The following is an 18820-nucleotide window of genomic DNA, read 5'->3' on the forward strand; positions in this document are numbered from 1 at the left end:
TACTGCTGTTCCCAGTAACTGGGAAGAAATTGATACAATGATAGGTGAATTCCGCCAGGTGTAGATACTAAATGAAAGAAACCTGGGACTGGGCATGGTGGATGACACCTGTAATCCCAGCACTTTGGGAGGCTGACAGGAGGATTTCTTGAGCCCAAGAGTTCAAGATCAGCCTGGGCAACATAATAAGACTCCTGTCTCTACCAAAAAAAAAAAAATTATCTGGGCATGTTGATGCATATCTGTAGTCTCAGCTACTTGGGAGGCTGAGGTGGGAGGATCACTTGAGCCTGAGAAGTGGAGGCTGCAGTGAGCCTTGATCACACCACTGCAACTCCAGCCTGGGTAAGACTCTATCTCTGGAAAAAAAAAAAGACAGTCAACTGAGTCAGCCAGCAAAGGTTATTAAAACTTTCCCAATAGACTCCCTCTGGGATTCCCTAATTCAAAGCAAAGGTCAGCAAACTTTTCCTGTAAAGGGCCAAATAGTAAATATTTAGTCACTATGGGCAGTATCATCTCTGTTGTAACCAGTCAATTCTACCAGTAGCAAGAAAACAGTCATAGACAATACATAAACAAATAAACATGGTTATATTTCTTTCTGGGTTTTTTTTTTTTTTTTTTTTTTAAATGAGACAGAGTCTCACTCCGTTGCCCAGGCTGGAGTGCAATGGAGTGATCTCGGCTCACTGCAACCTCCGCCTTCTGGGTTCAAGTAATTCTCCTGCTTCAGCCTCCTGAGTAGCTGGGATTTCAGGTGCCCACCACCACGCTCAGCTAATTTTTGTATTTTTAGTAGAAATGGGGTTTCGCAATGTTGGCCAGGCTGGTCTCGAACTCCTGACCTCAGGTGATCTGCCAACCTCAGCCTCACGAAGTGTTGGGATTATAGTCATGACCCACCACACCTATCCAGAGCATGGCTACAGTTCATAAAACTTTTTTTATGAATACTGAAATTTGAACGTGTATACTTTTCACACATCACAGAATTTTTTTTCAGCCATTTAAAAAATGTTAAAGCCATTTTTAACTTTTGAGCCGCATAAAAATAGGCAGTAGCCTGGCGCAGTGGCTCACGCCTGTAATCCCAGCACTATGGGAGGCTGAGGCAGGTGGATCACCTGAGGTTGGGAGTTCGAGACCAGCCTGACCAACATGGAGAAACCCCATCTCTACTAAAAATACAAAATTAGCTGGGTGTGGTGGCACATGCCTGTAATCCCAGCTACTCGGAAAGCTGAGGTAGGAGAATCACTTGAACCCGGGAGGTGGAGGTTGCAGTGAGCTGAGACCACACCATTGCACTCCAGCCTGGCTAACAAGAGCAAAACTCCATCTCAAAAAAAAAAAAAAAAAAAATGCAGTCAACTGTCTTTGGTCCCCAGGCCATAGTTTTTCCACCCCTGGCTTAACCCCAAGACCAAAAACAGAATCCTTAAATGATTGTACAGCAGCATCAAGACTGCTAATTACAAACCTTGGCTTATTAGGGTGAAAACTCTGCCTCCCCATGAACAGATAAAAATTAAGAAGGAAACCAACGGAATAAAGTAGCGGGAGGGCATTGTATAAAAAGAAAAAAGAATCATTTACATTCATGACTTTAATTAATTGAAAAACTTAAAATCTTTATATGAAGAAATAAATACATACTGTTTTTCTCTGTACTCCAGAAACCACAAGAGTGTGTTTTCTATAGAATTCTGCTAAAAACGCCTTATAAAAATGATAATTCACTTAAAAAAAAAAGAAAAAGAAAAAAATCAAAGAAGGAGTTTAAAACAAAGTAATTTATATTTTATCTTTGTGCACCTAAATGTCATTGTCATTGTCATTGTTGTTCTTTAAGTAGAATTAGCAGAGGCTGTGGAAGCAAGGTGGTGGCTCTGGAAGGAGATCAGCAAAACACCCAAGCCATCCTGTGAAAGCAAAGCAATACTACAGGTATGGAACTGATATTTACGATGTTAAGGCCTAAGATTATATGTTATTTATACAGAGAAAAATTCCCACCCACAGAAATAGTTCTTTTTCATGTATGATTCAGCCTAGGAGGCAGGCTCCGGGATTAGAACGCCAGATAAGAATCCATTTCGGGGGCCGGGTGCAGTGGCTCACGCCTGTAATCCCAGCACTTTGGGAGGCCAAGGTGGGTGGATCACCTGAGGTTAGGAGTTCAAGACCAGCCTGATCAACATAGTGAAACCCCATCTCTTCTAAAAATACAAAATTAGCCAGACGTGGTGGTGCACACCTGTAATCCCAGCTACTCAGGAGTCTGAGGCAGGAGAATCACTACCTGGGAGGCAGAGGTTGCAGTGAGCGGAGATCGCACCATTGCACACCAGCCTGGGCAACAAGAGTGAAACTCCATCTCATAAAAAAAAAAAAAAAAAGAATCCATTTTGGGGTTCTCAAGTTGTATTTAACACTGGGTCAATGGAGTTCCATATCTACCCTTTTTAACAGAATGGCTCTCAATGATTTTGAACTGTGGATGTATTTGAATATTTTATGAAAACTATGGAACTTTCCTCTATAAAATATGCCTATAGACAACATTTTGCATTCAATTTTATGGAATTCATGGTGCCCCTCAACTACCAGGACCCATATCTGAAAAAGCGTTCTAAAGCACGAAGTGTGAAGGCACTTGTCTTAGGGTTACTCCACCAGCCACACCTGATTTCACAGATACCACTTTCTTTTTCTTTTAACAGTTCACCTTTGCAATGTCTAATAATTAAGTTACATTAAAAGTGCTGAGGTATGAGATCTCTTCTTCAGCAACCATGTGGAAAAATCATGTGTCATTTAAAGAAGCTTCTAAAAGGATTACAGGCCTCTGGCTTCACCCTGGAGGTGTCCTGGCTGTAAATAATTTAAAGGATGTCTCTTATAGGAGAAGGAAGATGCTGAATGGGAATTGAATCTGTTCTTCCTTCTACATTTTTCTCCTTCTCATCCTAACCTGGGGACTGCCCCTATCCAGTTCTTCATGCTTCCAGATGTCATCATCGAGTCACAGAACATTAGGTCTGGAAGGCCCATCTGAAATTGCCTAGTCCAGTGCTTCTCAAACTTTAGTGTGTGTCAGAATCACCAGAAGAGCTTATTAAAAGGTAGATTTCCTCCCACACCTCCCCAGGTCAGACAGAGTAGGTCTGAGTGGTGCCAGATGATTCTAACAAGCTCCCAGGTGATTCTTAGGTGGCCCTTTTTGGACTCACACTTTCAAAAGCATAGATTTAGTCTTCTTTTATGAAGGAGGGACTGAGACTGTGTTATGCCATTCTTGCATTGCTATAAGGAAATACCTGAGACTCGGTAATTTATAAAGAAAAGTGGTTTAATTGGCTTACTGTTCTGCAGGCTGTACGGGAAGCATGGTGCTGGTGTCTGCTCAGCTTCTGGTGAACCCTCAGGGAGCTCACAATCATGGCAGAAGGCAAAGGGGGAACAGGCACATCACATGGCAAAAGCAGGAGCAAGCGAGAGAGAGAGAGAGAGGAGGAAGAGGTGCCACACACTTTCAAATGACCAGATCTCATGTAAACTCAGAGTGAAAGCTCATTTATTACCAAAGGGATGGCCCAAGCCCTTCATGAGGGATCCACTCCCATAATCCAAACACCTCCCACCAGGCCCCACCTCCAACATTGGGAATTACATTTCAACATGAGAGTTAAGTGGGGACAAACATCCAAACTATGTCAGAGATCTTCCCCTCTGTGATGGTTAATACTGAGTGTCAACTTGATTGGATCGAAGGATGCAAAGTATTGATCCTAGCTGTGTCTATGAGGGTGTTGCCAAAGGAGATTAACATCTGAGTCAGTGGGCTGGGAAAGGCAGACCCACCCTTAATCTGGATGGGAAACATCTAATCAGCTGCCAGCACAGCCAGAATATAAAGCAAGCAAAAAACCGTGAAAAGGCTAGACTGGCTTGGCCTCCCAGCCTACATCTTTCTCCTGTGCTGCATGCTTCCTGCCCCTGAACGTTGGACTCCAAGTTCTTCAGCTTTGGGACTTGGACTGGATCCCTCACTCCTCAGCTTGCTGATGGCCTATTGTGGGACCTTGTGATTGTATGAGTTAATAAACTCCACTCTATATATATATATATGTTCTGTCCCTCTAGAGAACCCTGACTAATATACCCTCTTTCTGCCCTCCTTCCTTGTCTGTACCTTGAAGATGGTAGCCTAAAACTGTCTGGATCATCAAATGAGATAACGTTTGCCAACACATCAAGCTCACTGCTGCCTCAAAACCTTTGGTGCTCCCTCTGTATTAAAAAATATATGTATCTTCTGCCCATATTTCTATGACTTGCTCCCTCCCATCACTAGGTCTTTGCTCCAGTGTCCCTTCCTCAAGTTTTCCTGACCATCCTATGTAAAGTAAACAACCCTCCACCCTACCCGCATTGTCTCCATTCTTCTACACTGTTTTCTTTTTCTTCATATAACTTACCCCTATCTGAATTATGTATGTATTTCTTTACAAGTTTACTAGCTATGACTGTGGTTTCATAGAGACAGCTTCTAGCACTGTGCCTGGGAAATAAGGGGCTCACAGTGAATGATAAACCAGTGAAAACATAAAGTTCTTATTTATACTTTATACTATTCCTTAAATTCATAACCTTTTATCTTCCCAGACACACAAAAAGGGGGAAATATTTATGTTCATCCACTGTCGACAGTGTTCCCACTGTCGACAGTGGATGAACATAAATATTTCCCCCACAATGTTAGTCAATGTGATTGGGAGTGTATGGAAGCCAAGGTTGCCATAAGCGAGACGAGCATGCATACAGAATTATTATAATTAAGAGAGAATTAAAGGAAATTGATTTGCCATGTGATTGCTTTTATTCATTCAGTCTATAAATATTTGTTAAAAGCATCTGAGGGGCCAGACTAGGGATAAAACACAGAACAAAGCCCTCACGGAGCTCACGCCCTTGGGGGAGGAAGGAACAGCACAGCTACACAATATCAATAAGTACATTATAGAGCAGACTGAAGGTGATTGGTGCTTTGGAGAAAAATTAAGAATGTTAGGGAAATGCAGAGTGTAGAGGGCTGCAATTTTAAATAGAATAGTCCAGGAAGGCCTCAATGAGAAGGTAACATTTGAGCAAAGACTTGACAGTGGTGAAGCAGAGAGCCACACAGGTTTTGAGGTAGGAGGCAAGACTGGACTCTGGAGGCAGGGCTCAGACACTGGACTAAATTGAGGACTAGCTAAAACAGGGGCAGGGTGAAAGAAGCTTTCCATAGGACATGCCCATCAGTGTGCCATGTCAGCTTACCATTGCCATGGCAACACCCAGAAATTATCACCCCTTTCCATGGCAATCGCCTGACAACCCAGAAGTTACCACCTTATTTCTAGAAATTTCTTTGTAATCTGCCCCTTAATTTACATATAATTAAAGTAGATATAAAGATAACTGCAAAACTGCCTCAGAGCTGCTCCTCTGGATGCACTGCCTGGAAGGTTGCCCTGCTCTGTGAGGAACAGCACCTCTGCTGTTGCCGTGCACTGTCGCTTCAATACAAGTTGCTGTCTAACACCACCAGCTTGCCCCTAAATTATTTCCTGAGTGAAACCAAAAAGATCTCCTGTACTAAGCCCCAATTTGGGGCTTCACCTGCCCTACATCAGTTTCTTGAGGAAGTGTGCTCCAGGCAGAGAAAACAGCAAGTGCAAAGGCCCTGGGGCTGGCCAATGCGAGTGAATAGGAGGAAGTTGAAGAGGAGCTCAGAGCCGGTGGGGGACTGTGAGTCACGCAGGGCTCTACAGGCCCCTCCAAGAACCCTGGCTCTTCCTCTGAGTGACCTGGACCTCACTGGGAAGATCTGAGCAGAAAAATGACTTGATCTGACTTAGGCTTTCACAGGATCACACTGCCTGCTGTGTTGAAAAGAGTGCTTGCCTCAGATCCAGCCACACACTTCCTGCTCAAAAAAGCACACTCCAGAGATGTTTTAAAACAAAACACAAATTGCTAAAAACAACCACAAATATATTTAAATGGGCAAAGGACTTAAAGAGTTTAATTCATTCTCCAAAGAAGATTCACAAATGGCCAATGAGCACATAAAAAGATGTTCAATATCACTAATTATTGGGGAACTCTAAAGAAAACCTCAATGAGATACCACCTCACACCCATTACAATGGCTATCAAAAAAAAATGGAAAATGATGGCAAGAATATGGAGGAATTAGGACCCTCGTGCATTGCTGGTGGAAATGTACAGGGATGCAGGCACTATGGAAAACAGTATGCAGGTGCTTCAGTAAGTTAAACAGAGTTATCAGAGGATTCAGCAACTGCACTTCTAGGTTATATACCCCCAGAAATTGAAATCAGGGGCTCAGATACTTGTATACCAATATTCATAGCAGTATTATTCACAGCAGCCAAAATGTAGAAACAACTCGAGTGTCCATCAACAGATGAATGGATAAATAAAATGTGGTATATACATACAATGGAATATTGTTTGATCTTAAAATGGAATGAATTCTGATGCATGCTACGCCCTGGCAGAACCTTGGAAACATTATGCTAAGTGGAAATAAGCCAGACGCAAAAGAAGAACTATTGTATGATTCCACTTATGTGAGGTACCTAGAATAGGTGGATTCATAGAGACAGAAAGAGCACAGGTTGCCAGAGGCAGAGGGGAGGGAAGAAAGGGAAGTTCTCGTCTAATGAGTATAGAGTTTCAGTTTTGCAAGATGAAAATGTTCTGGAAATGGATGGTTATGATAGTAGCACAACAATGTAAATGCATTTAATGTCATTGAATTGTACACATAAAAATGGTTACGATGGTAAATTATGTATATTTTATCCCAATTAAAAAATTTTCATTTTTCTAAGTTTCTAAGTTCTGTCTCAATGTACCTTTTCATTTAACAAATATTTATTAAGCATCAACTATGAACCAAGCAATGTGGATAAAATTTTCCAAGTAAAAAAAGAGGGACAACCATCATTTGTTGAGTGCCTACTTGGGACACACTGGCTATTTTCTTTTCAGACCCTTTGTCTTCCTTGGGATTTTGAGATGTTAGAAGTCAAAAAATGTGCAAAAATAACATTGAGGACTTTGTAATGCAGGGTCCCAAAGGCACAGATAAAGCATTACTGGCTTTTTGAAGCGAGAAAGGTCACTTCTGACTGGGAGCTCCATCAAGTCTTCATGGAATGGCCAGCATGGGAACAGAGGCTGGGGCAGGGCAGATCCCAGGCACCAGCAGGAGGTCAACAGTGCTCAGGAGCAGAGGGGAACAAACGTGGTGGGCACATGGGATATATGAGGAGGAGAAAGGAAAGGCAGGAAGCCAGGGAGTTCGCAGGATCCAGATCCTCAAGGGGTCTTAAATTAGGCCAGTCATAGCCTTAGGGGTCAAAGAGCCATTGAAGACGTTTAAGAAGGGGATGCCAAGGCAAAGCCATAGACACCTGCAGGTGGGGAAAGTAGGATACTGTGAGATGAGAGAACAGCAGGAGAAGGAAGGACAGAGTCACTGCCTATGGGGAACTCTCATCTGAAATGACTTCGTGTTGATGCAAAGCATTTCTTGCTAACTTCTAAGCATATGGAAAGTCTCATCTGCACACTCCAACTTCTGCCTGGGGAGGGAGAGCCAAGTGAGAATTTTTTCCATTAAGACTGTGATGAAGGAAAAATTCCTTAGGGCAGACAATTATGTCAACATATTTTTCTAATTTATATTTTTAAATGTGCAAATGTTCCTAGAGGCCTGGTGGCAGACACAACTTTTATAAATATAAAAATGTCAATCTGCACACAACTGCTAGCCTGCTGAAGACACCCACCTCCTTCCAAATTTAACCAGTCTGATTTTTTTTAAGACAATTGTGTTTGGAAATTGTAAACATGCAGCTAATGAGTCTAAGGAAAAACAGAGTTTATCCAATAACATTGCACAAAGGCAAATTTCTCCCAAACCTTTTTTCTTCAGCATCAGAGTCTTTTTTCTTAAAATCAGAGCTAGGAGACTTGTTTGCATCACCAAGTATGTGATGAGAGGATGAAACATGATCACATGCAGGCAGATACAGTGGTGTGAAGCCATCAAGGGAGGCTGGAGTCTGCAGTCAGAGGGGCCAGGTACAAATCCCAGTCTCGCCCTTTCAAAGTGACATTGCCCTTGGCCAGATTACTTACCCCGCTTCCCAAGAGGAAGGTCAGTATGGTGGCTGAGGGTCTGGACTCTGTAAACCAGACTTCCCCAGGCTTGACTCCCCCTCTGCCACCTCCTTGCTGGTAACCTCTCAATGGGGTGATAAGAACAACAGTATCTGCCTCATGGCAGGATCATGAGGAGTAAATGAGTTAACATATGTAAAATCCCTAAGAGGGTACCTGTTATGTAAAGTGCTATGTATAAATGCTTGCTCATTTGTTATCAGTTAAAACGAAAAACTGGATATAAGCCCTCACAAGGCATTCGTGACAATTAACTGAGATGGGGGTGGAGGCACACTCTATGCAGGTTCTAAACCTAAAATCCTAGCTCTACCACTCATTAGCCATATATTCTAAGTTCCTTTATCTTCCTGTATTTCATTTTGAGGTTGAACTTCGAATAGGCCCTTGCACACGGTGAGTAGACAGGAAATCTCATCAGCAACAAATATTAGTTTCCCCTGTCCTTCTCATTCTCATTCCAACATGTTTTCTCCTAAGAGGACAAGATACTCTGGACTGTTGAAGTCCATTTAGGGTATTCTCCAGATGAGGGTTGTTGCAGGCTGAATTGTGTTCCCCAAAAATTCATGTGTTGAAGACTTAATTCACAGCACCTCATAATGTAACCATATTCACAATAAGATCTTTAAACAAGTGATTAAGTTAAAATTACACAATTGCAATTGGAGTAGGCCCTAATCCAATCTGATTGATGCTCTTACAAGAAAAGGAAATTTGGACACACAGAGAAACATCAGATGCATGCAAGCAGAGGAAAGACCAGGTGAGGATGCAGCGAAATGCTGGCCATCTAGAAGCCAAGCAGAGAGGCCTCAGGAGAAACCAGCCCTGCCAACATCTCGATCTTGGACTTTCAGCCTCCAGAACTATAAGAAAATCCATTCTGTTGTTTAAGCCATCTATTCTGTGGCATTTTGTTATGGCAGCTCTAAAAAACTAATACAGGGTATAAATGTTATTCTCCTACATATTTTTGAGAAAAGGATACTTCGTTTTTCAAAGTCCAAAGAGGGTGGCAATTTATTCAGCAAGCATTTGATGATTCCCTGATATGGAAGAGGATCACTTGAGATGGAAGTTGTCCTAGGGCTCCAAGTAACTTGATGTAGCACTGTGTGTCCTCAGGGAGCTCACAGTCCAGGGACTGACCCTGACAATTAAAGGAGGAATTGTAATTTGGGGTGATGGATGGTATAGTAGAGCCACATGAGATATCGTTTGGACTGTGTCCCCACCCAAATCTCACGTTGAATTGTAATCCCCAATGTTGGAGGTGGGGCCTGGTGAGAGGTTATTGGATCATGGGGGTGATTTCTCATGGTTTAACACCATCCTCTTTGGTGCTGTTGAGTTCTTGTGAGATCCGGGTGTTTAAAAGTGGCACCTCCCCGCTCTCTCTCTCGCTCCTGCTCCAGCCACGTAAGACGTGCCTGCTTCCCCTTTGTCTTCCACCATGACTGTAAGTTTCCTGAGGCCTCCCAAGAAGCAGAAGCTGCTATGCTTTCTGTACAGCCTGCAGAACTATGAGCCCATGAAACCTCTTTTCTTTATAAATTACCCAGTCTCAGGTCTATATAGCAGTATAAGAACAGACTAATACAACCCACAAGGTAAAGAATTGGCATAAAGGGGAGAGAGAACAACTCTGCCAGAGGGAGGAAAAGCCTTTTCCAGTGAGGAACTGGTGAGCTGGGCATAAAGTGTGCAAGGAGTCTTCCAGGCAGGTACAAGTACAGAAAGCATTTTAGGCAGAGGGACAACATTTATAAAAGACTCTTCCCCTCCGGATGCTCACCATCTGTCCAGGGAGGTGGGTGGGTAAATGTTGTTGAGTATACATACATTGGTGAAGGGATAAATACTCTGCTATGAGACTGAAGTCAGGAACATTTAACTGAGGCTGAGGAGACCAGGAAAGGTGCTACCTTAGCCAAGTTTTGAAGATTGTGTGAGTCACAGAAGGGCATTCCAGGCACAAGGGACAGCATGAAGGCTTGAGAAAGAATGTTGTATAAAGTAACTCAGAAGTGCAGGCATGTGGAACTCAAGACAGGATAAGAAGACTTGTATTGAGCAGGGTGCTACATGCTTTCATGCATTATCTCAGCTGATCCATTCTAACAACTCAATGGGGTAGTTTGTCATGGTTATTAATGCTGCCTAAATAGAAAAACCCTGAAATTTCAGGGGCTTAATACAATAATGAAACTGAAAAATAACCCATTAAGTTCAATGAGGGTCAGGCAGTCTGCCTACCTCAACCAGCTATGCCATCCTGAACATCTCCAAGGTGGTCACAGCAAGAAAAGAGAAAGATGATGGAAGGTCACAGGGCTCACATCAACTCCACTTCCAGTCAATTGGCCAGAAATAGCCACGTGACCCTGACTTAACTTCAGGAAAGGCTGAGAAATCTAGGGAAGTGTGTGGGTATTTGGTGACTAACTATTGCAGGTAGAAATCTTTATTATATTCTCATTCTGTCAGAAAAGTTAAGTTTTTTGCCCAAAGCCACACGACTAATGAGCAGTATTGCCAAGAGTCTCATACAATTGACTCTTAAACCTACATCTGAGCCACCATGGTGTATTGCCAGATCATACAGAGCTTTCTATTGTAAGACTGGGGCCGGATGCTGTGGCTCATGCCTGTAATCGCAGCACTTTGGGAGGCTGACGTGGGCAGATCACCTGAGGTCGGGAGTTCGAGACCAGACTGACCAACATGGAGAAACCCCGTCTCTACTAAAAATACAAAATTAGCCGGGCGTGGTGGCACATGCCTGTAATCCCAGCTACTTGGGAGGCTGAGGCAGGCGAATCACTTGAACCTGGAAGCTGGAGGTTGCGGCAAGCCAACATCACGCCATTGCACTCCAGCCTGGGCAACAAGATTGAAACTCTGTGTCAACAAAAAAAAAAAGAAAAAGAAGATTGGACATTACCCTATAGACAATGGGGAGCTAGCACAATCAGATTTTCCTTTTAGATAGACCACTTAGGCTGTGCTTTGAAGGATGGCTTTGAGAAAGCAAGGTTGGGTGCAAGAAAATCATTAGGGAGGCTATTGACATAGTTCAGATGAGGGATGATGAAGGCTTCAAGCAGGACAATCGTAGGAGGAACAGAGAAGATGGACATATTGGAGAAGTTTTGGGGACATGGATAAAAGTAGCCAGACTTATTGCTTTAGTATGAGATGAGGAAAGAGTATTCAAGAAAGATATCCTTGTATTTGTATCATGACCTAGACAGATGGTGTCAGGCCAGGCACGGCTGCTCACATCTGTAATCCCAGCACTTTGGGAGGCCGAGGCAGGAGGATCACTGGAGCCCAAGAGTTCAAAACCAATCTAGGAAACATGGCAAAACCCAGTCTCTACAAAAAAAAAATACAAAAATTAGCCAGGTGTGGTGGCATGCACCTATAGTCCCAGCTACTCAGGAGGCTGAAGTGAATCACTTGAGACCAGGAGGCGGAGGTTGCCGTGAACCAAGATTGCTCCACTCTGGCCTGGGTGACACAGCAAGACCCTGCCTCAAAAAAAAAAAAAAAAAAGAAAAGAAAAGAAAAGAAAGATGGTATCATTAATGAAAGAAAAATATAGAAGAAGGAGCAGAGAAAATGGTGAAGAAAACAATGATTTTAATTTTGGAAATGCTGTTTAAAAAACTTGGGAGACATCAAATGGCAATGCATACTCAACTGCTTATATAATCCCCAGCTTGGGAAAGAAGCTGGGGTAGGGAGTTACAAATATGTAGATGTTAGTTGAATAAAAGGAGAGTTGGAATCCTGTGGGAAACAATTATAAAAGTTCCCAAGAACAGATGGGAGAAAGTGACGGAAGCATCCAATGCAGATAGGCCAGCATAAACAATATTACTTAGGTTTTGCCATTAGAAGTCATTGATGACCTCCATGGAAACAGCCTCAGTGGAGTGGGAAAGGGTGGGGCAGAGTGAAAACAAATGTAAAGTGCTACCACTCTTAATCCTCTAAATAAGGCAGTATTATGATCCCTACTTAATAATGAAGCTGTGATATTATAAAATATATTTAGCCTTTGTCCAGGTTTCCTGGCATGTAACTCCTTAAATCCTTGGACTCTCTGAAGTGGTAAGAGTGCTTTTTACATGCTAATGAGATGACTGGTGCCTGGCCATCCCTAGGTAGTTTCAGGATGGGGGCTGGCCACCAGAAAGACCAAATCATGATTAGAGGGTTGAGACTTTCAGCCTCACCCCCCAACCTGTAAGAGAGGGGAGAGGGACTGAAGGTTAAGTTGCTCACCAATAGCGAATGGTTTAATCAATTGTGTCTACATACTGAAGCCTCCATAAAAACCCAAAAAGACAGTTCAGATGAGCTTCCACATAGCCAAGGCTCCTTCTCTGGTGGTGCACCCAGAGAAGGCGTGAAAGCTCTATTCTTCTTCCTTCCCCCACACATTGCCCTATCCATCTCTTCATCTGGTGCTCATCTGTATCCCTTGTAATATCCTTTATAATAAACCAGTAAAGATAAATGTGCACATCCCTCAGTTCTGTGAGCTGCTCTAGCAAATTAATCGAACCTGAGGAGGGGGTTGTGGAAACCCTGATTTATAGCTCTTTGATCAGAAGCACAGGTAAAACAACCTGGGGCTTGCAGTCAGCATCAGTGGTGGGAGCAGTCTTGTGGAGTGAGCCCTCAACCAGTGGGATCTGATGCTATCTCCAAGTAGATAGTGTCACAGTGAATTGATTTAGAGGACACCCAGCTAGTGTGCCCTGCAGAATTGATTGCTTGCTTAGTGTGTGGAGAAAAACCTACACATCATGATTGTTGAGTGAGAGTCTAAGTAAAACTGAGTTTGACCTGTTTCCCGATAACCTCAGAGCAGCTCAGAGTGGTGACTTACAATATCAAACAGTGGCAGAGAACCCAGACTCTGGAAGGCAGCCATCTGGACTGGGTTCCTTGGAATTAGACTCTGAGATGGATATTTGTATGCAGCTTTCCTTGGGAGCATTTTCAAAACCAATACCTGTAAGAAAATGAGAGAAGCAGGGTTGGGCAGAGGTGATGAAGGAGCTACACAGGACGAATTTGATCTTGCAGAGAACCCTTGAGTTGGAAAGGGACTTCAAGTTGCCTCAAATATAGGCAAAGGGTTTTGACCAGGCCATTAGTCCACACATTGACCAGATATTGGTTATGGGCTAACCCCAATAAAGGATCTAACTTTGGGCAAGGCAGCTCCCTTTGGTCAAGAACAATGTCCAGAGAGGGACACACCTGACAGCCACCAGGAGCCAGCTCTCCCAGAGGCTGAAGGAGTGAGCACTTCAGTTCTGAACAGGAAATCTGGGTGGCGCATGAGGCATCCATGACACTGTCTGGTACCAAGGTCAGTTCAGCTACTTACTCGCTATGAGATCTTGGTTAGTTTCTTAATCCTTCTGTGCCTCAATTTCCTCAACCTTAAAGTGGGAATAATAATGCACTTACCTCAAACAATTGTTATGAGAATTGGATGAGTTAAAACTGCTAGAAACACACCTGACACAGAGTCAAAACTTCATAAGAATAGAAGGTCGAAACCTCACGACAACCCAAGTCTTCTGATTTCCAGTCCTGTGCCATTTCTTCAAGTCATTCATTTCATCAAGGCTCCTCCATTCTCATTCTGTTTCCAGTGTATGTAGTACATGAGCATTGTGTGCTGCAATGTGCTACCCATAACTATGTTGCACCTTTACAAAAGTATGTATTAATTTCGTATGACCAAAACAAGGGTATTTAACAAAACAACCTGGAAATTTCAGTGGTTTGCAGCCATCTATTACTCACTCACTTACTGACTTGTAGGTTTGGCTAATCTGGGCTAGGCTTGGCTGGGCCTGACTCCTAACTCCATGGCTGGGCCCAGGCCTTTCCACGTCTCTTGTCTTTCTTAGATTAGCAGTACTCACAGCATATTCTGTTCATAGTGAAAGACAAGAGCTCAAGAGACCACACCTAAATATGCAAGCACATTCTAAGCTTCTGCTCACATCTGTGGTCATCCCATTGGCTAAGGCAATCCAGGTGGCTAAGCCCAAAGTCAAGCACGTGCACCAAGGAGAGAAGGTACCCATAGAGGTTGAGGCAAGGGAAGGACTGGAAATTTGCTGAAAAATAATCTTCCATACAGCCTGATGAACAAAGATTTTGTAATAGAAAAGAAGATACTCATGACCAGAATCTTAAGAAGAAAAAAAGCTGCAGGTGAAAGCCTTTACTAAATACTTATTACTAGTATGTCTAGGCAGATCCTTCTAGCCTCTGTCTGACTCAGTCTCCTCATTTGCAAAACAGTTATAATGCTCCCCTTCTATTTAATTCATAGAAATGGGATATCATCATTCTCATCCACGCATCATACTTTTTTGTGGAATACTGCAGCAAGTCTTTGTAATAAGTTGGCATTCTCTGCCATCTAGCATGCTTATAATTCTTTATTGAGCATTCCAGCATGGGACTGATCCCCCAGAACTGTCATAAAAAGGCATGAGAATTGCAGAATTACTTCAGTAGATAGGAGTGGCTAGAATCTAATGTGCTATAGATTTTTTAAGCATTGGGTCTTCATCTCATAGACTTCTATCTACCCTGACAGCACTTGAGTATATATAAGCCCTCCATAAAATCTAGTTGAATTTTCTGTTTTCAAGGTCAGTTAAATAGAGGATGGTACCAACACTGCTGAGACACCAATCAGACAATGCGCTCTGCTAAAAGCCTAATGCAAGCCTCTTTGCCTGTGGTAGTTACTAAATACCCAGCTCAGCACTTTTGCTCCTTAATTCCAAAACCTTCTATTTGGGTACTACCTAGCAGCATCAAATTGTTTAAAATAAAATAAAAGAATGATGGCTCAGCAAACTGTAGCTTTTGGTCCAAAAATTTATATTTCTAATTCATTTAGTTACAGCAAGACAGATGCCAAACTTTTATGGCTTTTTAGTCTAATCAAATTTGTGTACACAAAGATGAAATCCTCCTCTCTCTACTTGCCAGGAATGAGGCATAATCTTTATTCTAATAAAAGCTTTATTGCTACAAGTATCACCTAGTTCTTTAAAGACCCTCTGAAATCATTTTGATCTCAGGAACACTTTTTCATACCTCTTCCAGATTGATCTTATAAAAGTACCATAGGCAGATAAATGAGGGTGGAGCCAAGATGGCCAAATAGGAACAGCTCCGATCTACAGCTCCCAGCGTGAGCGACGCAGAAGATGGGTGATTTCTGCATTTCCATCTGAGGTACCAGGTTCATCTCACTAGGGAGTGCCAGACAGTGGGTGCAGGACAGTGGGTGCAGCGCACCGTGCGTGAGCCGAAGCAGGATGAGGCATTGCCTCACTCGGGAAGTTCAAGGGGTCAGGGAGTTCCCTTTCCTAGTCAAAGAAAGGGGTGACAGACTGCACCTGGAAAATCGGGTCACTCCCACCCTAATACTGCGCTTTTCCAACGGGCTTAAAAAACGGCACACTAGGAGATTATATCCCGCACATGGCACAGAGGGTCCTACGCCCACGGAGTCTCCCTAATTGCTAGCATAGCAGTCTGAGATCAAACTGCAAAGCGGCAGCCAGGCTGGGGGAGGGGCGCCCGCCATTGCCCAGGCTTGCTTAGGTAAACAAAGCAGCCGGGAAGCTCGAACTGGGTGGAGCCCACCATAGCTCAAGGAGGCCTGCCTGCCTCTGTAGGCTCCACCTCTGGGGGCAGCGCACAGACAAACAAAAAGACAGCAGTAACCTCTGCAGACTTAAATGTCCCTGTCTGACAGCTTTGAAGAGAGCAGTGGTTCTCCCAGCATGCAGCTGGAGATCTGAGAACGGGCAGACTGCCTCCTCAAGTGGGTCCCTGACCCCTGACCCCTAAGCAGCCTAACTGGGAGGCACCCCCCAGTAGGGGCAGACTGACACTTCACACGGCCGGGTACTCCTCTGAGACAAAACTTCCAGAGGAACGATCAGACAGCAGCATTTGCGGTTCACGAAAAACCACTGTTCTGCAAACACCGCTGCTGATACCCAGGCAAACAGGGTCTGGAGTGGACCTCTAGCAAACTCCAACAGACCTGCAGCTAAGGGTCCTGTCTCTTAGAAGGAAAACTAACAAACAGAAAGGACATCCACACCAAAAACCCATCTGTATGTCACCATCATCAAAGACCAAAAGTAGATAAAACCACAAAGATGGGGAAAAAACAGAGCAGAAAAACAGGAAACCCTAGAAAGCAGAGCACCTCTCTTCCTCCAAAGGAACACAGCTCCTCACCAGTAACAGAACAAAGCTGGACGGAGAATGACTTTGACGAGTTGAGAGAAGAAGGCTTCAGACGATCAAACTACTCTGAGCTACAGGAGGAAATTCAAACCAATGGCAAAGAAGTTAAAAACTTTGAAAAAAAATTAGACGAATGGATAACTAGAATAACCAATGCAGAGAAGTCCTTAAAGGAGCTGATGGAGCTGAAAGCCAAGGTTCGAGAACTATGTGACGAATGCACAAGCCTCAGGAGCTGATGCGATCAACTGGAAGAAAGGGTATCAGTGATGGAAGACAAAATGAATGAAATGAAAGGAGAAGGGAAGTTTAGAGAAAAGAGAATAAAAAGAAATGAGCAAAGCCTCCAAGAAATATGGGACTATGTGAAAAGACCAAATCTACGTCTCATTGGTGTACCTGAAAGTGATGGGGAGAATGGAACCAAGTTGGAAAACACTCTGCAGGATATTATGCAGGAGAACTTCCCCAATCTAGCAAGGCAGGCCAACATTCAGATTCAGGAAATACAGAGAACGCCACAAAGATACTCCTCGAGAAGAGCAACTCCCAGACACATAATTGTCAGATTCACCAAAGTTGAAATGAAGGAAAAAATGTTAAGGGCAGCCAGAGAGAAAGGTCGGGTTACCCACAAAGGGAAGCCCATCAGACTAACAGCAGATCTCTCGGCAGAAACTCTATAAGCCAGAAGAGAGTGGGGGCCAATATTCAACATTCTTAAAGAAAAGAATTTTCAACCCAGAATTTCATATCCAGCCAAACTAAGCTTCATAAGTGAAGGAGAAATAAAATACTTTACAGACAAGCAAATGCTGAGAGATTTTGTCACCACCAGGCCTGCCCTAAAAGAGCTCCTGAAGGAAGCACTAAACATGGAAAGGAACAACTGGTACCAGCCACTGCAAAAACATGCCAAAATGTAAAGACCATCAAGGCTAGGAAGAAACTGCATCAACTAACGAGCAAAATGACCAGCTATCATCATAATGACAGGACCAAATTCACACATAATAATGTTAACCTTAAATGTAAATGGGCTAAATGCTCCAATTAAAAGACACAGACTGGCAAATTGGATAAAGACTCAAGACCCATCAGTGTGCTGTATTCAGGAAACCCATCTCACATGCGGAGACACACATAGGCTCAAAATAAAGGGATGCAGGAAGATCTACCAAGCAAATGGAAAACAAAAAAAGGCAGGGGTTGCAATCCTAGTCTCTGATAAAACAGACTTTAAACCAACAAAGATCAAAAGAGACAAAGAAGGCCATTACATAATGGTAAAGGGATCAATTCAACAAGAAGAACTAACTATCCTAAATATATATGCACCCAATAAAGGAGCATCCAGATTCATAAAGCAAGTCCTTAGTGACCTACAAAGAGACTTTGACTTCCACACAATAATAATTGAAGACTTTAACACTCCACTGTCATCATTAGACAGATCAACAAGACAGAAAGTTAACAAGGATACCCAGGAATTGAACTCAGCTCTGCACCAAGCAGACCTAATAGACATCTACAGAACTCTCCACCCCAAATCAACAGAATATACATTTTTTTCAGCACCACATCACACCTATTCCAAAACTGACCACATAGTTGGAAGTAAAGCACTCCTCAGCAAATGTAAAAGAACAGAAATTATAACAAACTGTCTCTCAGACCACAGTGCAATCAAACTAGAACTCAGGATTAAGAAACCCACTCAAAACCGCTCCACTACATGGAAACTGAACAACCTGCTCCTGAGTGACTACTGGGTACCTAATGAAATGAAGGCAGAAATAAAGATGTTCTTTGAAACCAATGAGAACAAAGATACAACATACCAGAATCTCTGGGATCCATTCAAAGCAGTGTGTAAAGGGAAATTTATAGCACTAAATGCCCACAAGAGAAAGCAGGAAAGATCCAAAATTGACACCCTAACATCACAATTAAAAGAACTAGAAAAGCAAGAGCAAACACATTCAAAAGCTAGCAGAAGGCAAGAAATAACAAAAATCAGAGCAGAACTAAAGGACATAGAGACACAAAAAAACCCTTCAAAAATTCATGAATCCAGGAGCTGGTTTTTTGAAAAGATCAACAAAATTGATAGACCGCTAGCAAGACTAATACAGAAGAAAAGAGAGAAGAATCAAATAGACGCAATAAAAAATGATAAAGGGGATATCACCACCGATCCCACAGAAATACAAACTACCACCAGAGA

At 42.9% G+C, this 18820-nt stretch overlaps 1 long non-coding RNA gene across 5 annotated transcripts in view; it reads right to left on the reverse strand.

Moving 5' to 3' along the window:
• LOC105369719 (uncharacterized) overlaps positions 1 to 18820 on the reverse strand; it is a 39196-nt gene that overhangs the window by 9923 nt on the left and 10453 nt on the right. For 3 of the 5 annotated variants that reach the window (XR_001749071.1, XR_001749070.1, XR_001749067.1), the window contains 2 exons: positions 13175 to 13300; positions 9180 to 9421 (listed from right to left, as the gene is read on the reverse strand). This is a non-coding gene — a long non-coding RNA (uncharacterized LOC105369719). Of the gene's footprint in view, positions 1 to 6872; positions 8895 to 9179; positions 9422 to 13174; positions 13301 to 18820 lie in introns of those variants that run through there. The other 2 variants (XR_001749068.2, XR_001749069.1) reach the window with 2 other exon arrangements.

This window comes from Homo sapiens, chromosome 12, assembly GCF_000001405.40.
Source record: "Homo sapiens chromosome 12, GRCh38.p14 Primary Assembly".
Classification (NCBI taxonomy): domain Eukaryota; kingdom Metazoa; phylum Chordata; class Mammalia; order Primates; family Hominidae; genus Homo; species Homo sapiens.